Below are 23,100 nucleotides of genomic sequence, written 5' to 3'. Positions count from 1 at the left end.
AACCTATGGCATGGAAGAATATTTTGAAGTTTGCATGTCTACAAATAAAAATAAATTTTGAAGTGTGCATCTCTACAAATAAAAATAAAATTTTTGCAGGTATAATTATCAAAAAGTTTGCTTTGAAGCTAAAGGGAAAAATACTTAGATATTTAAGTATACAGAGCGAGGCTTCACTGAGCATGGAACAGAACTGGGAACAAAACACAGACACTGAATTATCTGCTGAAGAAATTATTTAGGCCACAGGATCCAAATTTATTCACAGGAAACCACCAGCAACTTGTGCATGGGAAAGTGTTTCACCCCAGCACTAAGCAGTCATTGGCCTCAATGCCTGGAACTGCCATGTGCTGGCAGGAATCCATTTAGCATCCAACCATTCAGCCAGAATACTTCAATGACCAACCACGTGATGTGAATTCTGAAAACCTCAGAAACAATTTTGACTGGTGTCACCAATCTGTAAGAAGTAAAAGTAAATCAAAGAATTGTTTTAAAATAGAACCATTCAATGCTAGTTATAGAAAAAGGAAAGCTCTCTAAATATTTTTATTTCCATAAAACCATAAACCTGCTAGCAATAAAGTTACTACAAACTCTCTAATTTGAACATTCTTATTTTGCTGCAAATAAGTGCACTTAGTTGACCTGAGTACCTGAAAATATGGAAATGCTTTATATGAAAAACAGAACCAACATACCTCACAAAAGCTCTTTACACAAATGAAATCTGTTCTCTGTCAACAGAAATAGAAGCAGATAATCTATTTAGTAATTCTCAAAAGGGACACGATGATAGACCACTGAAATATAAGAGAATATGCATCTATAATTTTATGATCCAATACTTATTGTGATATTACAAATATGTTAAATTTGTTCAGCAGCACTGTAACAAGAAGTGTGATAATTCAGTTGTGCAGTCCAATGTAAAACAGAGTATAACACCATCAGAAACTTAGCAGCCTTCATCTCTTTAATTACAAACTGGAGAAACTGAAATGAAGAATTCAAGTCTGCGCATGCAGTTCAATTACAGTCCCTGAGCTGGAACCAAAACATTCATACTCCAAATGCCGATTTTATCTATATTCACTGACTATGTTTTGATGGAAAACATCATCAATTATGGATACTTGTGTGTTGGGAGTTTCTTTGAAAAAATAGTGGGGAGAGGTGTTTAGCTCTTCGTTTTGTGTAACAAGGAGACAGCAGATATTGTTTTGTAGTCTTGAGAAATTAAACACTGGCTAATTAGTCTTCAGTTATACGAAGTGTGAATAATGAGTCCAATGTTTTAGAATGAAGTACATTTGCTTCTTAGAAGCAAAAATCAGCAAAGAACTAATAACGTAAAATATTCATGAATTTCAGTACTAATGAAACTAATGAAACAAATAAAGCAAACATTTTGATAGAGCATTGAAAGAATTTGATACAGCATAGAATGGTTTCCCCAAGCTTCTGTATGCATATATATGTAATATCTGTATGTGTATAAGTATATACACACACACAAATATATATACACAGACCTATACAAACAAATATATATGTTACATAAATTTTAAAAATATATTTTACATAAAATTTTATAGATTTGGCTATTTTGCACAGTGTTAATGCAAGTGCCTGGCAAAGAAAAAGCATAGCTATCCTAAAAAGAAATTATGGAGCGCGTGCATAGTTTCATACACCAAGTGCTTCAAACCATGATTTTGTATTACCCTAACTTTTGATTCACTGTGCAGCTTTTGGAAGAAATCATAAGCGAGGAATAGTATAGCTCACTTTGGTCGAGGCATGCACCCGGATTAGTGAGTCTGCATAATCGCCCGTGCTTCGATATATAACTTGCCTCATCGGTCCATTTCAAATCACCACTCTTAGTTACAACTTCTCCCTCTATAGAAGACTCTGGTTCCCGTTTCTATTTCTTTTTTTTTTTTTTTTTTTTTTTTGAGACAGAGTCTCACTCTGTTGCCAGGCTGGAGTGCAGTGGCGTGATATCTGTTCAATGCAACCTCCACCTCCTGGGTTCAAGTGATTCTCCTGCCTCAGCCTCCCAAGTAGCTGGGACAACAGGCATGTACCACCACGCCCAGCTAATTTTTTGTATTTTTAGTAGAGACGGGTTTTCACCATGTTGGCCAGGATGGTCTAGATCTCTCTAACCTAGTGATATGCCCACCTCGGCTTCCCAAAGTGCTGGGATTATAGGCGTGAGCCATGGCACCCAGCCCCATTTCTATTGTTTAACCAATTCTTCCTCTTCCAGAAACAATATGAATATTTTCCTAAGCCTCCTTACACTTGAAAATGTTATTCTCCTACATACTCTTGAAAAGAATGTAAAAACAATAAAAATATTTACCTTGAAAAATGTTAGCTTCTTTTATATCATAAGCTTTTGGAGGACTAGACAAGGGTATGCATTTTGGTTTATTCCAAATCTATTACCCTTCTCCTGCCATATATTGACTATAGTCCCCAAGCACTGTGTAGTGGGAGGCACCCAGGTCTTCAAAGGCAAAGCAAGCCTGAGTTCAAACTCCACCTTGGTCACTTCATAGCTACGTGACCTGCGGCAAATTACTTATCACTCTGTCCCATAATTTCCTTATTTGTAAAACCTTTTTAAATAATAATAATATATAAGCAGATATAGGTATTAAAGAAGCTCAAGCATAACAGCTTTTTTTTTGGAAAGTGCCCAGAACATAGCCTGTTCACAAAGCAAGTTAATAGCCTTACCTTATCATTCTTACACTTAACAAGAGTAAAACTATGCACAATGCATAGTTTTCTTTTATGGCAACTTGGCTGGTAGAAGACAACTCTTTTTGCCCATCAGACTGAGTTCAAATCCCAACTTTGCCACTGACAGTGTTGTCAGTTAGGCAAGTCATCTAAACTCTTTAAAATCTCATTACCTCATTTATAAAAGATAATTAATCTCAAAAGTTTGGAGAATCATATGAGATCACACATACGAAGCGCATAAATATGGTACACTGTAAGAACTTTATAAACGTTGGCTTTGATATTGTTTGCATTCTTTGTCAAAAATGGTCTTTTCAACATTCCTGCGGCAGACATATTTGACTACAATATTCTCGATCCTTCATTCTTCCTTGCAAGATGGACACGTCATTTGATTGGCCAGTCATGTACTTCGAGGGAGGCAGATCTTCCCATCAGCAAAAGGGAGTTGATTCGGGAAAGGAAATCATGTTAATGTCATTCTCCTCACCACCAATTAATTTAGGAGTGATCATATGAAATGATTATAGCCAATGAGTATTGAGGGAAGTTGGCTAGACAACACAGGGTAAGGGGATTTTTCCTCCAAAGAAAATCAACTAAAGAAATACAGGCGACTGGGCATTGTGGCTCACGTCTGTAATGCCAGCATTTTGGGAGGCCGAAGTGGGCGGATTACCTGAGGTCAGGAGTTCAAGACCAGCTGGCCAACATGGTGAAACCCTGTCTCTACTAAAAATACAAAAAAAAAATTAGCCAGGCATGGTGGCAGGCGCCTGTAATCCCAGCTACTCAGGAGGCTACGGCAGGAGAATTGCTTGAACGCGAGAGGCGGAGGTTGCAGTGAGCCGAGATCGTGCCATTGCGCTCCAGCCTGGGGGACAAGAGCGAGACTTTGTCTCAAAAAAAACCAAAAACAAACAAACAAACAAAACAGAAATACAGGCATACCTTGGAGATATCGCCAGTTTGAGTCCAGAATACAATAAAGCATATATCACAATAAACTAAGTAACACAATTTTTTTTGGTTTTCCAGGGCATGTAAAAGTTGTATTTATACTAGTCTATTAAGTGTGCAACAGAATGATGTCTAAAAATGTCCATACATTAATTTAAAAATGTTTTATTGCTAAAAAAGAGTGAAGGATCATCTAAGCCTTCAGTGGGTCCTAATCCTTTAGCTGGTAGAGGGTCTTGCCTCCATGTAAATGGTTACTTCCTGATCAGGGTAGGGGTTTGCTCAAGGTTGAAGTGACTGTGGCAATTTCTCAAAATAACACAACAATGATGTCCGGTGTTTTCAATCGGCTCTTCCTTTCCTAACGTACTTCTCTGTAGCATGCAATATTGTTTGATCGTGTTTGACCTACAATAGAATGCTTTTCAAAATTGAAGTCAGTCTTCTCAAACCCTCTGACTGTTTTATTAACTAAGTGTATGTAATATTCTAAATAATGTTTATATTTCAATAAGGTTCAGAACATCTTCACCAGAATTAGATTCCATCTCAAGAAATCACTTTCCTTGCTTACCCATAAGAAGCTAATAACTTCTCATCCATTCAAGTTTTGTCATGAGATTGCAGAATTTCAGTCCCATCTGCAAGCTCCACTTCTAATCTATTTCTCTTCCTCTTTCCATCAGATCTGCAGTTACTACTTCTGCCGAAGTCTTGAACCTCGGCCATCCATGAGGATGGAGAAATACGAGGAATAACTTCCAAACTCCTATTAATGTTGACATGTGACCTCCTCCCATGAACCACAAATGTTCTTAATGGCATCTAGAATGGTGAATTTCCAGAAGGTTTTCAATTGACTTTGCCCAGATCCATTAGAGGAATCATTACCGATGGCAGCTATAGCCTTATGAAATATATTTCTTAAAGAATAAGAGCAAGAGTCAAAATTACTCCTTGATCCCTGAGCTACAGAATGAATGTTGTGTTAGTAGGCATAAAAACAATGTTGATCTTTTTGTAAATCTCCACGACAGCTCTTGATTGAGCAGAGGCATTGTCAATTAGCAGTAATATTTTGAAGGGAACTTTTTTCTTTTCTGAGAAGTAGGTCCCTACAGTGAGCTTACAATATTCAGTAAATCATGTTGTAAACAGATGTGCTGTCATCCCAGCTTTTTGTTTCATTTGTAGAGCACAGTCAGAATAGATTTGGCATAATTTTTTTTTTTTTTTTTTGAGATGGAGTCTCACTCCATTGCCCAGGCTGGAGTGCAATAGCACGATCTCGGCCTACTGCAACCTCCGCCTCCCAGGTTCAAGCTATTCTTCTGCCTCAGCCTCCAGAGTAGCTGGAACTACAGGTGTGCACCACCACGTCCAGCTAATTTTTGTATTTTTAGTAGAGATGGGGTTTCATCATGTTGGCCAGGATGGTCTCGATCTCTTGACCTCATGATCTGCCTTCCTCGGCCTCCCAAAGTGCTGGGATTACGACTTAGCGTAATTCTTAAGGACGCTAGGACTATAAGAATAGCAAATGGGCATTGCCTTCAGCTTAGTCACCAGCTGTATTATTCCCTAAGAAGAAAGCCAGCCTGTCCTTTGCAACTTTGAAGCCAAGCATTGACTTCTCTTCTCTAGCTAAGAAACTTCTAGATAGTATCATCTGACAATAGAAGGCTGTTTCTTCTATATTAAAATTCTGTTGTTTAGTGTAGTCCTGCCTTCATCAACTATGTTAACTAGAATTTCTGAATAACTTGCTGTAGCTTCTCCATCAGCATCTGCTGCTTCACCTTGCACTTTTATGTTATGGAGATGGCTTCTTTCTTTAAACCTCATGAACCAATTTCTTTTTTATTTTCTTTTTTTTTTTTTGAGATGCAGTTTCACTCTTTTTGCCCAGACTAGAGTGCAATGGCACAATCCCAGCTCACTGCAACCTCCGCCTCCAGGTTTCAAGCAATTCTCCTGCCTCAGCCTCCCAAGTAGCTGGGATTACAGGCATGCACCACCATGCTCCACTAATTTTGTATTTTTAGTAGAGGCGGGGTTTCACCATGTTGGTCAGGCTGGTCTCGAACTCCTGACCTCAAATGATCTGCCCACTTCAGCCTCCAAAAGTGCTGAAATTACAGGTGTGAGCCACCACGTCCGGCCCTCGTGAACTAATTTATGCTTGCTTCCAACTTTTCTTCTGTAGCTTCCTCACCTGTCTCGCCTCACCTCTCCAATTCAGCCTCCACAGAACTGGAGTATTAGGACCTTTCTCTGGATTACGCTTTGGTTTAAGAGAATATTGTGGCTAGTTTGCTCTTCTATCCAAACCAGTAAAACTTTCTCCATATAAGCAATAAGGTTGCTTTGCTTTCTTATTTGTGTATTCACTGGAGTGGCTTTTTTAATTTCCTTCAGTAATTGTGTTTTCTGCATTCATAATTTGGTTAACCGGCACAGGAGGCCTAGCTTTTGGCCTATTTTGGCTTTCAATATGCCTTCCTCACTAAACTTAATTATTTCTAACTTTTGATTTTAAGGGAGAGACCTGTGACCCGTCTTTTGACTTGAATATTTAGGGGCCATTGTAGGGTTAATTTATTGGCCTAATTTCAATATTGTTGTGTCTCAGGGAATGGAAGGTCTGAAGAGAGGGACAAATACCAGGAAACAGCCAGTCAGTGGAGCAGTCAGAGTATACACGACACTTATAAATTGATTAAGTTTGTCATTATGTGGGTATGCTTTGAGGTACCCTAAGATAATTACAATTGTAACATCAACGATCAATGATAACAGATCACCATAAAGACATAATAATAATAAAATGTTTGAAATATTGCCAGTTACCTAAATGTGACACAGAGACCCAAGGAGAGCATATGCTATCAGAAAAATGAGGCCGATAGATTTGCTTGACACAGGGGGGCCACAGACATTCGAGTTGTAAAAAAAATGCAGTATCTGTGAAATGCAATAAAAGGAAACACAATAAAATAAACTGCGCCTATATTTCTTTATTTCCCAACTTCAGGTAAGTGCATAAGTATGTGATGCTTTGAGTTGCTGAAGACAAGTTTCTTCCACAAAGCCAAGTAAAAACAGCAAAACCAGGAGTAGAAATATGAAATTAAAACCTACCTCTATATGGCCTTTCCTGTGCTATAATAGATTATTTTTAAGCCATTTTGAATTTGTCCTTCTCTTCTTTGCCCCTAAAAGCATCCTAAACTGATGTAATTTCACTATGATAATATTCAGTAAGTCATCCACAGACTGACGGCTTACTAAATTATTGATCATTGTAGTGATTCACAATAAGAAAAGCCATTTAAAGATACAGCTCATATTTAAATATTAATGTTATGTAGTTCTTAATGAATTACACTAATCTAAACAATCGAGTTTCCCCACCTTACAACCACTCTAAACCCCACCCTATTATCTCTAAATCCTGCTAGTTCTCCATGCTTATTAATATTTTAAGTCTCTAAAAGAGTTACTCGTTTACCAACTGGCAGTCACTAACCTGGATTTGGCCATTCAAAAGCAATGAACCAATGATATGGCATTTCCATTTTTTCATTTTTATGGAACCTCCATACTATTTGCCATAATGTCTGTACTAATTTCTATTCCCCAAAACAATGCACGAAGCTTCTCTGTTCTCCTCACCAACATTAGATTTTGTCTTTTTTATAACAGACAATCTACCAGGTGTGAGGTGATATCTCCTTATGGTTTTTAATTTGCATTTCCTTGAAAACCAATGTTGAGCATTTTTTTGTATGCCTTTGACCATATATATGTCAGCTTCTAGAAGATATCTACTCAGTTGTTTGGCCCCCTTTTTTTAAATTGGGTTATTTGTTTTCTTGATATTGAGTTATCTGAACTACTTATATATTTTGGATGTTAACCCCTTATCAGAGGTATAGTTTACAAATATATTCTCCCATTCCATAGTTAGTCTTTTCATTCTGTTGAATAAGTTCTGAAGATGTACTGCATGGCACGGTGACTATAGTTAAAAATGTATTGTATACCTGGACATTGCTAAGAGACTAGATCTTAGATGTTCTAACAACAACAGAAATAACTATATAAGGCGATAGATACTTAGCTTGATATAATAATTTCACAATACATACGTACGTCAAAAAATCATGCCATATACTGTAAATATATGTATTATACAGCTGGGTGGGAGGCGGGGGGAGAATTGGCCAGAAAAAAATGATAAAAACCTGAAGCTAGAGCTACTCCTAGTGCTTGTCTTTTTCCTTCTGCAACTCCTCGTTTCTTCAAGGGACTATGTTTCCATCAGTGAAATGAGCATCATTTTAGAATCAGATATTCCTGAATTTGAATATCAGATCCTTCCCTTATTAGATGCTACATATCTTTTATGAAAATCAGTTCCCTCATCTCTAAAATAATAGTTCAGATGTCCTACATGCTTTGAATTTAAAAATGATGTAATCCCTATGGAAAAAAAGAAAAAAAAACCCTGCAGAGTAAATGGCAGGTTTCCTTCTTTCATTCAATTAATTCACCAAATACTTAAAACTACACACTGATCATTAAGGAAACAAGGCTGCCTATAATCATTCTATACATTCTGGGTATCTTTTTCTCCCCTGTATGCATGAAACTATATTAGATTTTATCCAAGCTCTTCGCCCTTCTAACACAACCACCCACATTCCCATTCCCCTTTAGGTGATGAATTATCCTCCCTGAAACAAAACAGTGATTAGTCTTTGAGTATTCACTTCCCTTTATCATTCAACCTCAGCTCCCTGCATGCGTTTCTACTGGGAGGTTAGAATGTGTTTCGGAGTTCTAATTAGTAATGACACTTTACACTTATAAAGATTTATCTTCTTCCATCACACATCCACATCCATGTCCATCACCTGAGACTTAGAGACTTTAAAATGAGGTAAAAGGCATGGGAGTGAGAGGCAGCTGAGCAGGAAAGCTCAAGTGAAACTTGACTAATCACAAAGTCCTCTTTCCTCCCATAGTCAATAGTTTAATCCTTTGATTTTCCTAGTAAGAAAGAGGTATTTCCTGATTAAAGAAGTCACTGTTCATCAAACAATCGCTGTATTAATGCACAGTGTAGGAAGGAGGCTATTTTTCATAAAATGTTTCATTAAAATAAAAATGATACAGGGACTTGAAAGCAAAAATACATTAACAACTTAGGGTATTGCATAATAGCTCTTAATTGTGTACTAAGAAGTGTTATTTTAATAACACGAGCACAGTAAAGTTGAACATTTCATATCCATTTTGGATGTGGTGGTGAAGGTTTTTATAAAGCACATAGGCCTTCATAAGCCATTGAACAACCTAGGTTAAGTTTTGTTCTTAAATTGCAAACCACCTGCAATCCACACAGAGGTAAAATGCATTAACATAGCGTGTATGAGGGGGCTTTGAAATAAAATAACTCATCTAGATTACCAATTAAAGTGATTATATGTAAACTTTAGGAGGGAGATAAAAGTAAAAATAGATAAATCAGAAGCACTAGTAATTTCTTTAATTGCAAACTGTGTTTCCAGTTAAAAGCATCATATATAATAATGGTAACATTAATAGATAAATGGCAGGCACACAGATAAATAGGTGATAAAGATTTTCTGGGGTATCCAAAAATGTACTCCGTCCAATAAACTTAAATGCTTTTATCACTGAAGTTGGACCTAGAGAACACCACAAAAATCATTAAAACACACACACACACACACACACACACACACACACAGCTATCAGAGGCCAAAGGAGGATTTTTGAGGTTAAATGAAATTTCATCTTTTTAAAACAGAGAAAACATTAAAGTATCTCTTAAAAACTAAGATAAAACAAGTATTTTCTCACTTCTCTTACCATACATACAGTTCAGAATTGGTTTCCAATAACAATAGAATGAATAATCAACTTTTAATTAACTATGGGGGATTATCTTGATTTTGAGGACATTAAATACTTGCTTTATCGACACAGCAGACATTTACTATTGACCATATCTAATCTAGTTAATTATACCTTTATCAAGATATTATATCCCCCTCATTTATTTATATATTTCAATATATATATTGAACAGTTTTGAGACCCCAACTGTATAACCATCTCCTATGCCTCAGATAAGGCTTCAAAAGAACAAATCTTACAGAACGATTTCAGTTTTCTCTATTCCAAGCCTAATTAATTTTCAGTGAGGACATAAGACCAGGGATAAGGTGATTCATCCTTGTTATTCCTCCTGAATTAGATAATAACTATGACTTTATTATTTTATAGACGTTCATATATTTATGGAAGATCTCCTATATGCATGTCAGTGATGTAAACAAAACGTGTGAAATAAACACACAGGCCAACATATCATGTATTTTCAACAAAACAAATCATTATACAAAGGCAAAAGTAAATATGCTTTTTAAAATCAGTCAATTTGGCTTCTGCCGGGTAATATTTAAATATGCATTCAGCACATATTTGCCGGGCTTCTACCATGTTCTAGGAATACACATATGAATTTACAGAAAACTCTCTATTCTCTCTATTCAAGTACATTGCATTTAATGGGACACTAGCAGGGAAAGGCATTCTTGCTCCCATGGAGTTCACATGGAAGGTCACAGTAAAGTACCGTAAGTTTGAAGTGCAGAATTCAGGTATATTATCTCATCTTTGATTGGCTCCTCAAAGCCTTTAACAATGACTGATACAAATTAACGAATATTTGTTGAATGAACTGGTGTGCACAGTAATGAGCAATGAGGCTGAGAGAATAGGATTGTTCAATGAATACAAGGCAAAAGTATTAACAGTTCTAAGTCAAACACTCCCAAATATTTCAAACAAAAGGTAGATCTCCAATTAAAATTAATGGCATCTTATAAACCCAGTCCAAAAGTAAACTCTGAAGAACATAATGATATTAAATATGTTTCATACCAAGAAGTAATTTTTGGTAACTGCTTCATGGATGTGAGTAAAACAAACCTTTAAGTAAAACCAGAAACATAACAGGAATATATGCTGTATCTAAAGTAAAATATTTATATCAAGTCTGGCCCTACCATTTTTTAAAGCATTCTATTTGGGCAAGTAATTTCACCTTTTTGAAGTTTATTATCCTATTCTAAATCAGAAATACTATCTACCTTTCAGGATAACTGTGGGGCTTCATTAGATAAATTAAAATGGACTATAAGTGTTTTGTCAATTAATATGTCCCACAACATATCGTATATACATTCAAAAATATTACCATAGTATAATTCTTACCCTTTGATGATTCACAAGTTTTACCTGGTGTAAAGATTAGTGTGTAATCTATAGAATAAGTAGCATGAAGCCAGTTTTTCTATGCTAAATAGTATGATAAAGAGCGAACAAGATTAAAAATGTGCTTAATTTCAGCTTGTATCAGAAAGTTATAAGTGATTTATCTAAGTAAGTAATTTTTTTAATCAAAAGCACGTAAATGTCATTGATCAAAGTATATGGGACATACCTCACTGTATATATTAATCTTCACATAATCTGTTCTTGGCATTTCTCTCATGCATGATACTTACAAAGTTACTGCTAGAACATAGAAACTCAACTGCTCTCTTCAGGCAGTGATTAGTAGAGAATGATAATCAGAGAAAAATTAAGTGAGAGAATGGATATAAAAATAATCAGAAAGCCTAGTATTAGAAACGTCAGAGGCGTCTGAATCACAGCAACTCCATCTTGAATAGCATCTGGGTAAAATAAGGCCAAGACCTACGGGACTGCATTCCCAGATGATTAGGCATTCTAAGTCACAGGATGAGATAGGAGGTTGGCACGAGATACAGGTCATAAAGACCTTGCTGATAAAACAGGCTGCAGTAGAGAACCCGGCCAAAACCTACCAAAACCAAGATGGCCACAAGAGTGACCTCTGGTCATCCTCACAGCTCATAGTACCTTAGTTACAACGCATTCACATGCTAAAAGACACTCCCACCAGCACCATAATAGTTTACAGATGTCATGGAAACTTGTGGAAGTTACCTTATATCATCTAAAAAGGAGAGGCACCTTCAGTTTCAGGAATTGCCCACCCCTTTCCCAGAAAATTCATGAATGATCCACCACTCGTTTAGCATATAATGAAGAACAAAAAATGGGCAACCAGCAGACCTCAGGGTTGCTCTGCCTATGAAGTAGCCATTCTTTTATTCCTTTACTTTCCTAATAAAGTTGCTTTCACTTTACTCTATGGACTTGCCCTGAATTCTTTCTTGTGCAAGATCCAAGAATCCTCTCTCAGGTTCTGGACTGGGACCCCTTTCTGGTAACAGAGGTACCAAAAAAAAGCGCTGGGAATGAACAAGTTACAATAATAGAAAAAATGTCCCCAAGTCCTCTCATTAATATTGAGAACAAACTACAAGTGAGCTTATTTTCTTACATTGGGACCTATTCATATTATACTATAGGTTTTAGTCAGTACATTGGCTGATTTTACAAGTAAAGACATGCATTTCTGATATCACACCATATTTGCATCCCTGAAAATCTCTGGGGTCTGAAAACTTGTGCAGTAAAAAATATCATACTTTATGGGAAAAGACAGGATTAGGAGGCAGAACATTCAAAACCTGCAGAAATCTGTAAACAAGCACCAGCAAAAACCATAAAAGTCTTAATTACAATACTAGCATAGTTAAATCTCTGCTGGTATTTGCACCTAGCTTTTGCACCCTCTATCAGGATGCAAGACCTGAAGGGCATTCACTTTAAAATGCAAACTATGATCCACAGTGTAGCCTTTAAAAAATAAAAACAACAAAGTAAACAAAAAACAAACATCATTTTTCAGCAGGCAGAATGACTTCCCAGCTTCTTCAGCTGCACTTTCAACTTCACGAGATGCCTATTACAGCAGAAATCAAGATGTTCTTAAAGCCACTAAGTACATGAATACTTGTACTAAAGGAAGGGCCTTAAGTTGATTTTTTCATATTTTTCTTAATGTCTTCATAGCTTGCTAAGGCTTTCTCTGTAATTGTGAGGAAGCCTGGCTCTTACTTAAGAAATTAATGAGTGGAGAAAATCATGTATGGATCGACACATGTTTTTCATTTTCTTTTTTGAGATGGGGTCTCACTCTGTCACCCAGGCTGGAGTGCAGTGATGCTATCTCTGCTTGGTGCAGCCTCTGCCTCCCAGACTCAAGTGATTTTCTAACCTCAGCCTTCCAAGTAGCTGGGACTAGTGAGGTATGCACCACCACGCCCAGCTAATTTTTGTATTTTTGGTAAAGACGGAGATTTGCCATGTTGCCCAGGCTGGTTTCAAACTTCTGATCTCAAGCAACCTGCCGGCCTTGGCCTCCCAAAGTCCTGGGATTACAGATGTGAGCCACCACTCCCAACCCATGGATCAACACAATTTCTGCATTATAACACATCATCCCCTGGTTTATCAATGGTGTAACAAGATAAGATGCATCCAAGAAACAAACACTGTAGCAAAAAAGACCGAATCATATCTTAAATGTATTTAATGCTCTTTGATATAAATGTGAGCGTCAGCCTAAAGAAGGAACTTAAAATCTCTGGGCAAATCAGGCACTCTTAATCTCAGGAATGTCATCTATAAAATACGATATAATCAGGATTCAATGAGATAATGAGTAAAAATGCTCAACACAGCTCTCTGGCATAGAAGAGGTGCTCAAAAATATTAGTTCTTTTTTTCCTCCCTTGGACACTAATAGAAAAATGTTAAAATTTTATATATTCAATACCAAAAATCTTTTTTCATGTCAGTTTTTAGGGTTTTTTTTTTGGGGGGGGCGTTCTCCTGGATTTTATTTTGTTTTGGTGTGCCAGTGTTAAAAAGAAAAAGAAACTATAAATAAAGCAGAGAAGCTGACTTAAATGAAGAATATATAATGAAAACAAATTTTACCTACATACTTCTGAGATTTTACCCAAAATTCCAGAAGTATACTACACAACATTTAAAGTATAAATGGGGATGGAAGAACAAGATAAAGACAGATGACAAATAAAAGTGAAGAAATTATTCTGAAGAATTGGCCAATAAAAAGATCAACAGTTTCCATTTTCAAATTTATTGACATTTTTATCTAGATGTGCCATGAATACAGCAACTTGATATATAATTTTAAAAATAACAAGTTAAAAATTACTGAAAATGGGTGCACTTTTTCATTTATTTTTCCTATTTCTATTAAGATATAACCTTTTTTTTCTGTTAAATAAACGTAAAACTTCATGCGGCACGTTCCTACCAATTTCTCAATTTGTATTTGTTACTAAGATCCTATTAAGTCTTCCATAGACACATGTGCCACGTCCACTTCTTTTGCTTTCCTTCTGGTCCATCCTACACATGGCCATGGCCAGCAGACTTAAAAACAAACCAAAATTTAACCATGTTACTCTCCTGCCCAAACAATGGCTCCAAAAGATTTACACTAGAGTCAAACCAGCTTGGCCTCCAGGTCACTCTATCTTCCACTTCCACCACTATTTCCAGAACTGAGTGCAGAGGCTCACCTTTCCAAACTGCTTAGTGAATCCTTGGATTCATTAAACTGGATTATTTCTATTCTCTCAACGCGCCCCTCCCTTCTTACAATTTGTTCACTCATTTTTTTTCTCCTTGTATTAATAATCTTCTCCATTTACTCTCACTATATTGAAGCCCTTTCTGTTTCACTGAATGGCAAGGTGATGTCCTGGTAAGAGGCTAGGCTTTGGACATGTCCCATATGCAAACCCTCATTTCCAAGCAGTACAATCTTAGTTATTTAAACTCCCTGTATCTCATGGCCCTCATGGATAAAGGAACGATAATCGTAATAATAACAAGCTAATAGAGGATTATGATAAGAGAGCCTGTCAGTTAGTAAACACAATCAATTTTAGCTCATTCTAGGCACTAAACCGCTAAGGACTCAGACTACTTAGTGTTTAATTAATTATATGACATATTTTGTCATTTTATAATATTTTGTTGAACAAGTTATATATCTCCCTCATGCTTATTTGGCTTTTTAAATTTATATTATTTGTTTTTGTAATTATCAACATTGAATTTTCCACACACATGCAAATTTTTAAACAAATGAATCAACAATATATCAAAAATAGGTATGCAACTGGAAGTTGGAAAATCTACTCCCAGTTCCAGATAACTACAAAAATAAGTGATATAGGCAAATCGGATCATTCTTCTGTACCTCAATTTCTTCATCCATAAAACAAAGCTAATTGTCTCTTGACTCATTGGTAATCATAAGTTATAAGGTGACTGAAAGCACTTCGCACAAGTGGTCGGTACTGTTAGAAGGTGCTGATAATATTCTCATTTTAAGGCCTCAAAAAGTGCTTGTTATTTGATTATCTGACAAAATGGCACAGAATTTAAATATATTTTACTTTGAGCTGAAGATATATTAGATTCATTTAAATAAAATCTATGAACAAGTTTGGTGTTAGGAGAACTGAAGAGTTTGGAGACTGGAGCTCTAGTAACTAACCTTTTTACTTTTCTGTTTGATCTTTAGTAAGTCATTTATCTTCATTATGTGCCCATCCTAAGCCTCTTGGTGTTTAACACCAGCCTGATGTTGGTCCATAGAAAGGATTCATGATACAAAAAAAAGCGCATCATTCCTCAAAACCTTTTACTGCCATCTGCTGGCAAATTGTAAAAATAAATATGTGTTGCATCACTAGGACAATAAGTGACGCCCCCTGGAGTTGTTCTTCACACAATCTACGCAACCATTCCTAGTAATGCTGTCTAATGAGGTGTCTGGGACAGGGCAGGTATTCTGTAAATGTTAGATAAATGAATAAATGATGAATGAGTCGCCCTTATCAATAACTTAAGTAATCTCTGTCCCCTTGATATTTTTTTCTAATCACAGAGCAGCTTATGATGATTTTTTAAAACTAAATAAATGTTTATAAGCCACAAATTAATCTGTATACACATTATTAAAAAATATAAACAAAGCCTAGCATAGTAGGGTTGACATTTGGTAAGGTGCCTGCCTACACATATTTATTGTTACAATTGCTCCTCATGGCCGAGCATCAAGGTCAACTGGCCAGATTTTATAATATCAAATTTTCAAATAAGCAAATAGTGGTTCTAAGAGCATAAGTTGCTTCTTCAAGGTTAAGAGACTCTTAGTAGCCTAGGTCTTCTGACTCCAAATCCAATGAATTTTCTTCATCCCTGTGAGTTGTAATAAATCAAATGGAGCCAAGAAAGATTTGATCAATGGACCTGAAATTCTTCAAACTATAATGTTTTGATTGCCATGCTTATAAATATTCTCAAAATTCCCCATTATCTTTCTTAATGATTTAAATTCAAACATCTTGATTTAAATTCAAGATGTTTCATTACTTCACAGCTTTCTAAAATGTCTGGTAATGTTTGATGGATCCTTAGTGGCACAAGTGAACATAGAAAACTAGGAAATATGTTGATATCTATTTGTGATTAGTACTCTTATTATAACTGTAAATTGTTAAAAGTTATTAAAATATTTAAAAGAGCACCAGAGAGAAGCACTTTTATTTGTTGAACAATTAGAGATAGCTTGGCTCTATAAAGTGCAGGAATTTTACATTTAATAAAAGCATAAAAGCACTGGTTGCATCTTAAAGTGTTCTCATATCATGTAATTTGGAAAATTAAAACAAATTTATAATCTTTTAAATAGGCCTATCCTCAGTTTAATTGGGATTGTATAAAGGGAACAATAAATTTAAAATTTAGGACAACAAAATTTGAAAAACAATGATAGTCCCTTCAGAAGTATATTCAAATTATTAAATTAATTTTGCACATATCAACACTCAAGGGATTAATTTCATTTTGGGGGGAAATAGGGCAATTTAGAATCACTCTATAGTTATTGAGCACTTTTCTTCATGCTCTCAAAAATTCATTGCTGTGAGAGATGACCCTGAAAAGAGATAAGTTACAATGATTTCCCAAATGTTAAAAGACAGAGAATGCAGGAGGACCAGTTCCAGAGTCTTCAGATTGTCGATCCTGTTACTATTTGCACTGCTTCCACACGAGGACAGGCAAAAACAAATTACACTGTTCAGCTTGGTTACTAGCCTCAATCTCTGTAGCTCATTTCTCAGTTTCATTGCAAACTAGTCCTATTTTTGAAAGAAGGCCATTCTATTTACAAAATCATATGAAGTCTAACTTTTGGTACTGAATGAGGTTCTTTTGTTCCATTAATTGCTTCTCTAGTAGGACAGTACCTCGGGGAGAAAATTAGCTCCCTGTGTCATTGAAAAGACTCATCTGACACTCTCGGGACCCACCAACTTCCCTTCTTGCTCTATGGGCTCCGATTCTGCATTAAAAGTGAGAAAATACTCTGCCTAACTCCTTTGATATGAAGTAGTGAGGGAAATCCTCTGGGTTACTCTGACAATAAAGATATTAATTTACATTAGCCTTTACATTACATCTTCCCCAAGTGCAAAAGAAGACCCAGTCGATTTAATAGAAACTTTGCACAGAGAGGCTGATATCAAAGAATTAGAGCACAGCAGATAGAAAAAGCATACGAGAGAGGCTGGAGCCATGTAACAGCCCCGACAGAAGATGAGTTTGTGGAGCTCTCTCCTGTAATCTTCAAACTAGTAGACACTCACACACCTGTGCTCTATTTTTAGAAGGTACATTGCTGTAATGTACAATGACTTACTAGCACTTCACCAAAGAGAATAACTGTAAGCAGATGACTGCTTTAACTGATCAACTGGGCAATTCACCCCTCCTTTCCTCACGATTTTGGCTTAGGTAAGTGTTCTAAGTGGTACGTTTGAACTGCATTGCAAGAGAGATGAATAGCATTATTCTTACTTTAGGTTTTAGTATAACAGTGCTTCTATCTTACATATGTGAACATCCAGGAAAAATGCTTATTAATCATACTTGTTTAATTTTTAAAGGAAGAAGGAAGTGGTTTCAAAAATGTAAAAACTCTCACGAAAGCAATCCATACATACAACAGTTTGGAAATTTGAATATACAAAGATCCAAACAGCAAATGCAGTTAATCAGAAACTGAAGTTATCACTTGAGATTTATGATTACAAAGCCTGTGACCAAGTTTTGAACACAAAGGAAAAATAATTGCAAAAGTTACAGAATTACAGCATTTTCTTTCATTGACAATTAAATTCAGACTTCACAATAACATTCTAACCTTACTTCATTATACATTAATCTTGCAGTGGAAATTAGAGGCTTTTAAAGGAGTATTTCTGCTACAATAAAAAAAAGCGTCTTACTACTGTACAACAATAAGGTTGTATTGAGAGTTACAAGTAAACTATTAGGCCTTGTTAGCTAATTATAGTATTGGCATTCACTTAAGTTAGTCAGTTTCTCACTTAATGTCATTTTCTCCTATTCAACTGCTTCAGTTCAAAACGTTTTGACTCCTAAAAAGGGAATACATCATTGTTGCCTTTCCTCAGTCTAACTGCACACCACTTTCCAAAGCAATAGCTTCAATCATGCTTCATAAAATCCCCTGCAAGTATACTGTTGGACACATAAATCAGCAAGCTGAGATTTTAGTATTTCTAAGGCAAGACCAGGGATCACTGACTGGTGGCTTTTCCATGGCCCTCTTTACAAGAGAATAAACAAAATCATGAGTTACACTAGGTCTGTTTTTTTAAACAGCTCCCGGTGGTGTGTCTGATACTTGCTGCTGCATCCTTAATTAGAGAACAAAACACTAGCATAGAGGAATTGGACTCCAGGATGAGGATATCTATATCCAAGCATCTCTGACTTCATCAGGACACATGGCATAGAAGTACTATATGTTCCCTTTCACAAAAGCTACGTCTCTCTGATATATATCTGTGTCTCTATGAGTGCCACACATTGTGAAATTGTACTAGATAGAGAGATCTTTACAATGATGGTCTCCTTCTACCCTGTTTCATTACAGTGAATATGGGCTCCCCTTCAGAGATGCTTGTCTCAGAGTGCCTCTTCATAACCACCTCGTATCCTGACTTACAAATTAGCTGAATCACAATTTCACATCTATGTTACATGTACACATCCAAATTTTATGTCTCTGTGTACTATTTAAACCTATATATCTAAACATTTCTAATTTCCTATGTCTCCAAATTCCAACACACTTAGCCTCTACAATGATAAATTCAGATTCCACAACTGAGACATTTTTCTTCTCCAAACCACTCACAATGTAATCCTAAGTCTGCATAAACTTGTTTCCTATTATGCTCCCATTCTGCCCCACACTACCTACACTTATTTAATTGCAGTTGTATTTTAACTGCAATTTTCAGGGATTGTTTCTTGGTGCTCAAAAATACCTGTCTATGCTATAAATGAACAGTTAAACACAATCAGCAGCTATCTGAAAATTAAAGAAGCATATCTGTAGGACATATGTGCATGCTGATCTTTGCTTAAGAACCACTGAATTAACGAATTGGGCTAGTATTAGCTTCAGATGGACATATCTGCAATTTTGCTAAGACTGAAATATTTCATACTCTATGTTAGGAAGGGAAAATGAGCAGAATCTTATCAAGACACTTTACAAACTATAGGAATATCCAACATTTGCATACTGATTTCTGAACATTAAATCTGCATCCAATCGTGTTTCATCCGCCACTAACACTATAGCTGTGGGGAGGAGAAGGGCAGAAAAAGGAAGGCTTCACATCCAAAATGTCAAGCCCTGCTGAAGAATGATAGAAGGACTCTGTGGAAGAGCAGAAACCAACTTCTGGGCTTAAAATGGAGTTCTACCACCCCCTGCTGGACCAAACGAGCAATACAGAAGAGGCTAAAAATGCTTAGAACTGAATATCTTGGGGATATTTTAACTTGTCTTGTAATTTATTATATTATTTTAAAAAACCAATTTCACACTACACTAACAACATAACATTCTTTGCAATCATTACATATCTCAAAATTAGTGCTATTTTATTTTTCCTTTAAAGACTTTCACCAATGCATGTTTTAGCATTTTGTGTCCCTAATTAAACGTCCAAACTTGTCTGGACAGTTGAAAATGCTTCCATTTATTGTAAATATATTTCATGTGAGTGTTTACTATCTAAACAGCCAGATAAATTCATATCTATCTCTCTAGAGACAAACAGTGATAGCTTCCACAAATTCCCTCTCAGGTTATTCTACCAGGCTATTCATTTTTTTTTTTTAAGAGATAAAAGCTTCCACCAGTTCTCCCACAACCCCAAAAATCCTCTACAGGTGTAATTACAATGTAATGTTATAAAATGATTCCACCTTTCTGTATTAATAAGGGGTTGGGGTCAAAATGAATGACTGCAACACATCCCTAGTTTTATCCATTTGCTTTCTTACACACAATATCCACGGCCCCTCTCTTAGTTTCCAACAGAAATAAGCCATCATCATTCACTTCATAGTCAGGAATTAGGGTTTTGGGAAAGGGGTGGAAAAAAAAAAGAGTCTCCAAGAATCGAACGTCTTGCACACAGCAGATATTTTGCAAATGAGTTTAACACTGATAGTTTTTGCTGCTTCTGTAAAACACCATCGTGCCCTTTCCTTCCGCAACCTCAGATATTTCACTGTTAACACACTCATCCAATTTCTGATAATAAAAATAAGAGAAAGCCATAATCCCAGAGGAAAAAAAAAGAAGAAGAAGAAGCGGTTTCCCTGGATATCCTGCTCACCGATTCCCCTCTCCAATTCTGTATTTTCCCTTCTCTTATTTAAGGGTCTCCACACAACAGATACAATTTTAGGGACAGCTAGGAGAAAGAACGAAAATAATAATAACAACAACAGCAATAACTGTAACTTTAGTTCTTTCATTTCATTCTTCCTGCGCCTCCCTCTTTGCCTCTCTTGGCCGGGTGGAAGGGGGAGGGAAAGTAAATGCAATAAAGCGCCACACTCCTACCTTGCCCGCTACTGACAAGCAACCCCAGCAGGTAGAAGGAGAGGAGGAGGCTCATGTTCAGGACGTGACACCGGTGGACAGTTTCAAAGTTATTAAGTCCAGCCCTGGAGAGAGAACCTTTCGCTGCCCCGGCCGCCTCTGCTAGAGCCGCCGCCGCCGCTCCCGCGGTGCCCCAGCCGCCCGCAGCCCGCGCGCTCCTCCTCGCAAAGTGACTGCAAGCTCCGCTCTTGCCGCACTATATCCAGGCAGCGGCGGCGGCAGCGGCGGCAGAAGCAGCAGCAGCAGCGGCCGCCGCGGCGGCAGCAGAGCCGGGCGGGGAGGGCGGCGGGGGCGGGGGCGCGGCGAGGGGAGGTGCGGCCGAGGCGTATCCCTCCGCGCTGCACGGCGGCCGCTCTTCCGCGAGGCGCGCGGTCCCGGGATTCGTCCGCAGTGGAGCTCGAAGTCACGGGTTCGGTCCCCGGTGCCTCCGCCTAGAGGGGCGGCCGCGATCGCGAAGGCGCCACTCGCCCGCCGGCCATCCGCAGGTTCATGCACGCCCTGAGCCGAGAAGGGCGTGGGGATGGGGGCAGCCTGGAGCTCCTTCACAGCCGCCGGCTGCCTCAGGACAGCTGAGCTGATGCTGAGCTGAGCTGAGCTGAGCTGATGCTCATGCAGATGCTGATGCTGATGCTGATGCTGATACTGATACTGCAGGCGACCGCCCCGAGCGCGCCCCGGCTCAACGTGAATGGGGGATCTGGAGGCGGGCGGTGTGCCCCGCAGCTTATTCCTTTTGGGCGTGGGAGGAGGGAGATTCTTGTCTCTCCGTGGACCTCCTTCTCCCTCTCTCGCTCAAACCTGGAGCAGGCTGGCCCCTTGCGCGGCTGTCCCCTTCCCACGCTCCCCACCCCGCCGCGACAGAGGGGAAGCAATTGTACCCTAAAGTCTACACTGTCTGTCTCCTCAGGCGCTAAAGGGTGGGCGGAAAAATAACGTACAGAGTGTTTCCTCTACATCTCGACCCATTGCTGTTGGGAGCGGCACCTTACGGGAGAGACACTGGAGAGGGGACGAGCCGCGGGAGGGGCTGCGTTCAACTCAGCCTTAGCCTCAGCTGTGTCCTTAGAGGCCTGAAGTCTCTCCTGGCCTCACTCCGCGGGCTCTGCCCTCGGTCCCAGTGCGCTGCACTGGCCAGATCCCCGCCAGGAGTGCACCGAGGGAGGACTGCAAATGTGCAAAGATGAGTTGGGTCGCGGGGGGGAGACCTTCCCCAGATCAGTGCCCTACCCCGAACACCCACGTACCCGCGTGTGCGAGTGTAAATTGAAGTGAGGGAGCCGTGGCAAACGCCCGGAACTAACTCTCTGCTCCTTAAGATTGGGGCTTATCGTTATTTCTCCTAGAAGGGTAGGAAAACGTTTGTGAGATTAACGTCACCTCTCCTGCAAGAGCGGTTAAGAGGCAGAATCACCGGCCCGGGTGCGGAGCCCATGTCAATCTGGCCTGGGGTTACCGCGACCTGCAAACGCTGACGATGGGTCCTTTCATCTGCACTTTCTCTCTGGCTCCTTAGAAAACTCAACTGCCTCGCCCCGGCCTCCACAAGGACCCTAGCTCCTTCCTTATCAGTGAGGACATAGAAATAGCGGGGGTTGGAGAGGGGGGAGGTAGAAATGTAGAGCTCAGAATCCAGCCCCAGCCTGGGGATTTCACGCTGAAAAGGGCAGTGCATTGCCTTCAGGGAGGGCAGGGGGCAAGAGTAGACACAGGCTAACATGCATAGGGGAGATACCGTCTGCGATTTGTCCTCCCCAGGCAGAGCGCTTTATACAGATGATTCGTCCACTTGGCATCCTGGGATGGGGTTATCAGGAAGAGAGGAGGGGAAAGGCGGCCCTCAACTCACCATCGCTGAACTGCCTTAAGCAATGGCCCTCTCAGCACCTCACAGCTAGAGAACCTCTTATTTCCTCTTGATCTTATAGCAGACAATATATTTAGAAAGTTATTTTGCCACGGTACCCTTCTCACACCCTTTACTGGTTCTGGAATGCACTAACCACACTTAAGTAAACTCATGGTCAGCTCTTTGCAGGAAAGGGTGGAAGTAGCACATTTATAGATGTGAAAGACCGTGACTCATTTATTTACTCCAATTCTTCATTTCTCTTGGGCATTGATAAATGCTACACAGTAGGCCTTCTGCGTCCACAGTTCTACATCCTCAGATTCTACCAACCATGGATGAAAAATAACTTTAAAAAAAATGAAACAATGATACAATCAAAATAACGTAAATAAAAAAATACAGCAAAGTGACTATTTACAAAGCATTTGCATTATATAATGTA

At 38.4% G+C, this 23,100-nt stretch overlaps 1 protein-coding gene across 9 annotated transcripts in view; it reads right to left on the bottom strand.

The window, feature by feature from the left end:
• Positions 1-20,980, bottom strand: part of NCAM2 (neural cell adhesion molecule 2) — a 544,921-nt gene extending 523,941 nt beyond the window's left edge. For all 9 annotated transcript variants that reach the window (NM_001352592.2, NM_001352591.2, NM_004540.5 and 6 more), the window contains exon 1: positions 20,771-20,980. Coding sequence is in view for 8 of the 9 variants with exons in the window: in NM_001352591.2 (NP_001339520.1) it covers positions 20,771-20,825 (55 nt within the window). In the remaining variant the exon portion in view is untranslated. The remainder of the gene's footprint in view (positions 1-20,770) is intronic.
• Positions 20,981-23,100: the final 2,120 nt, after the last annotated feature.

This window comes from Homo sapiens, chromosome 21, assembly GCF_000001405.40.
Source record: "Homo sapiens chromosome 21, GRCh38.p14 Primary Assembly".
Classification (NCBI taxonomy): domain Eukaryota; kingdom Metazoa; phylum Chordata; class Mammalia; order Primates; family Hominidae; genus Homo; species Homo sapiens.
This window is presented reverse-complemented; position numbering and strand designations above follow the sequence as displayed.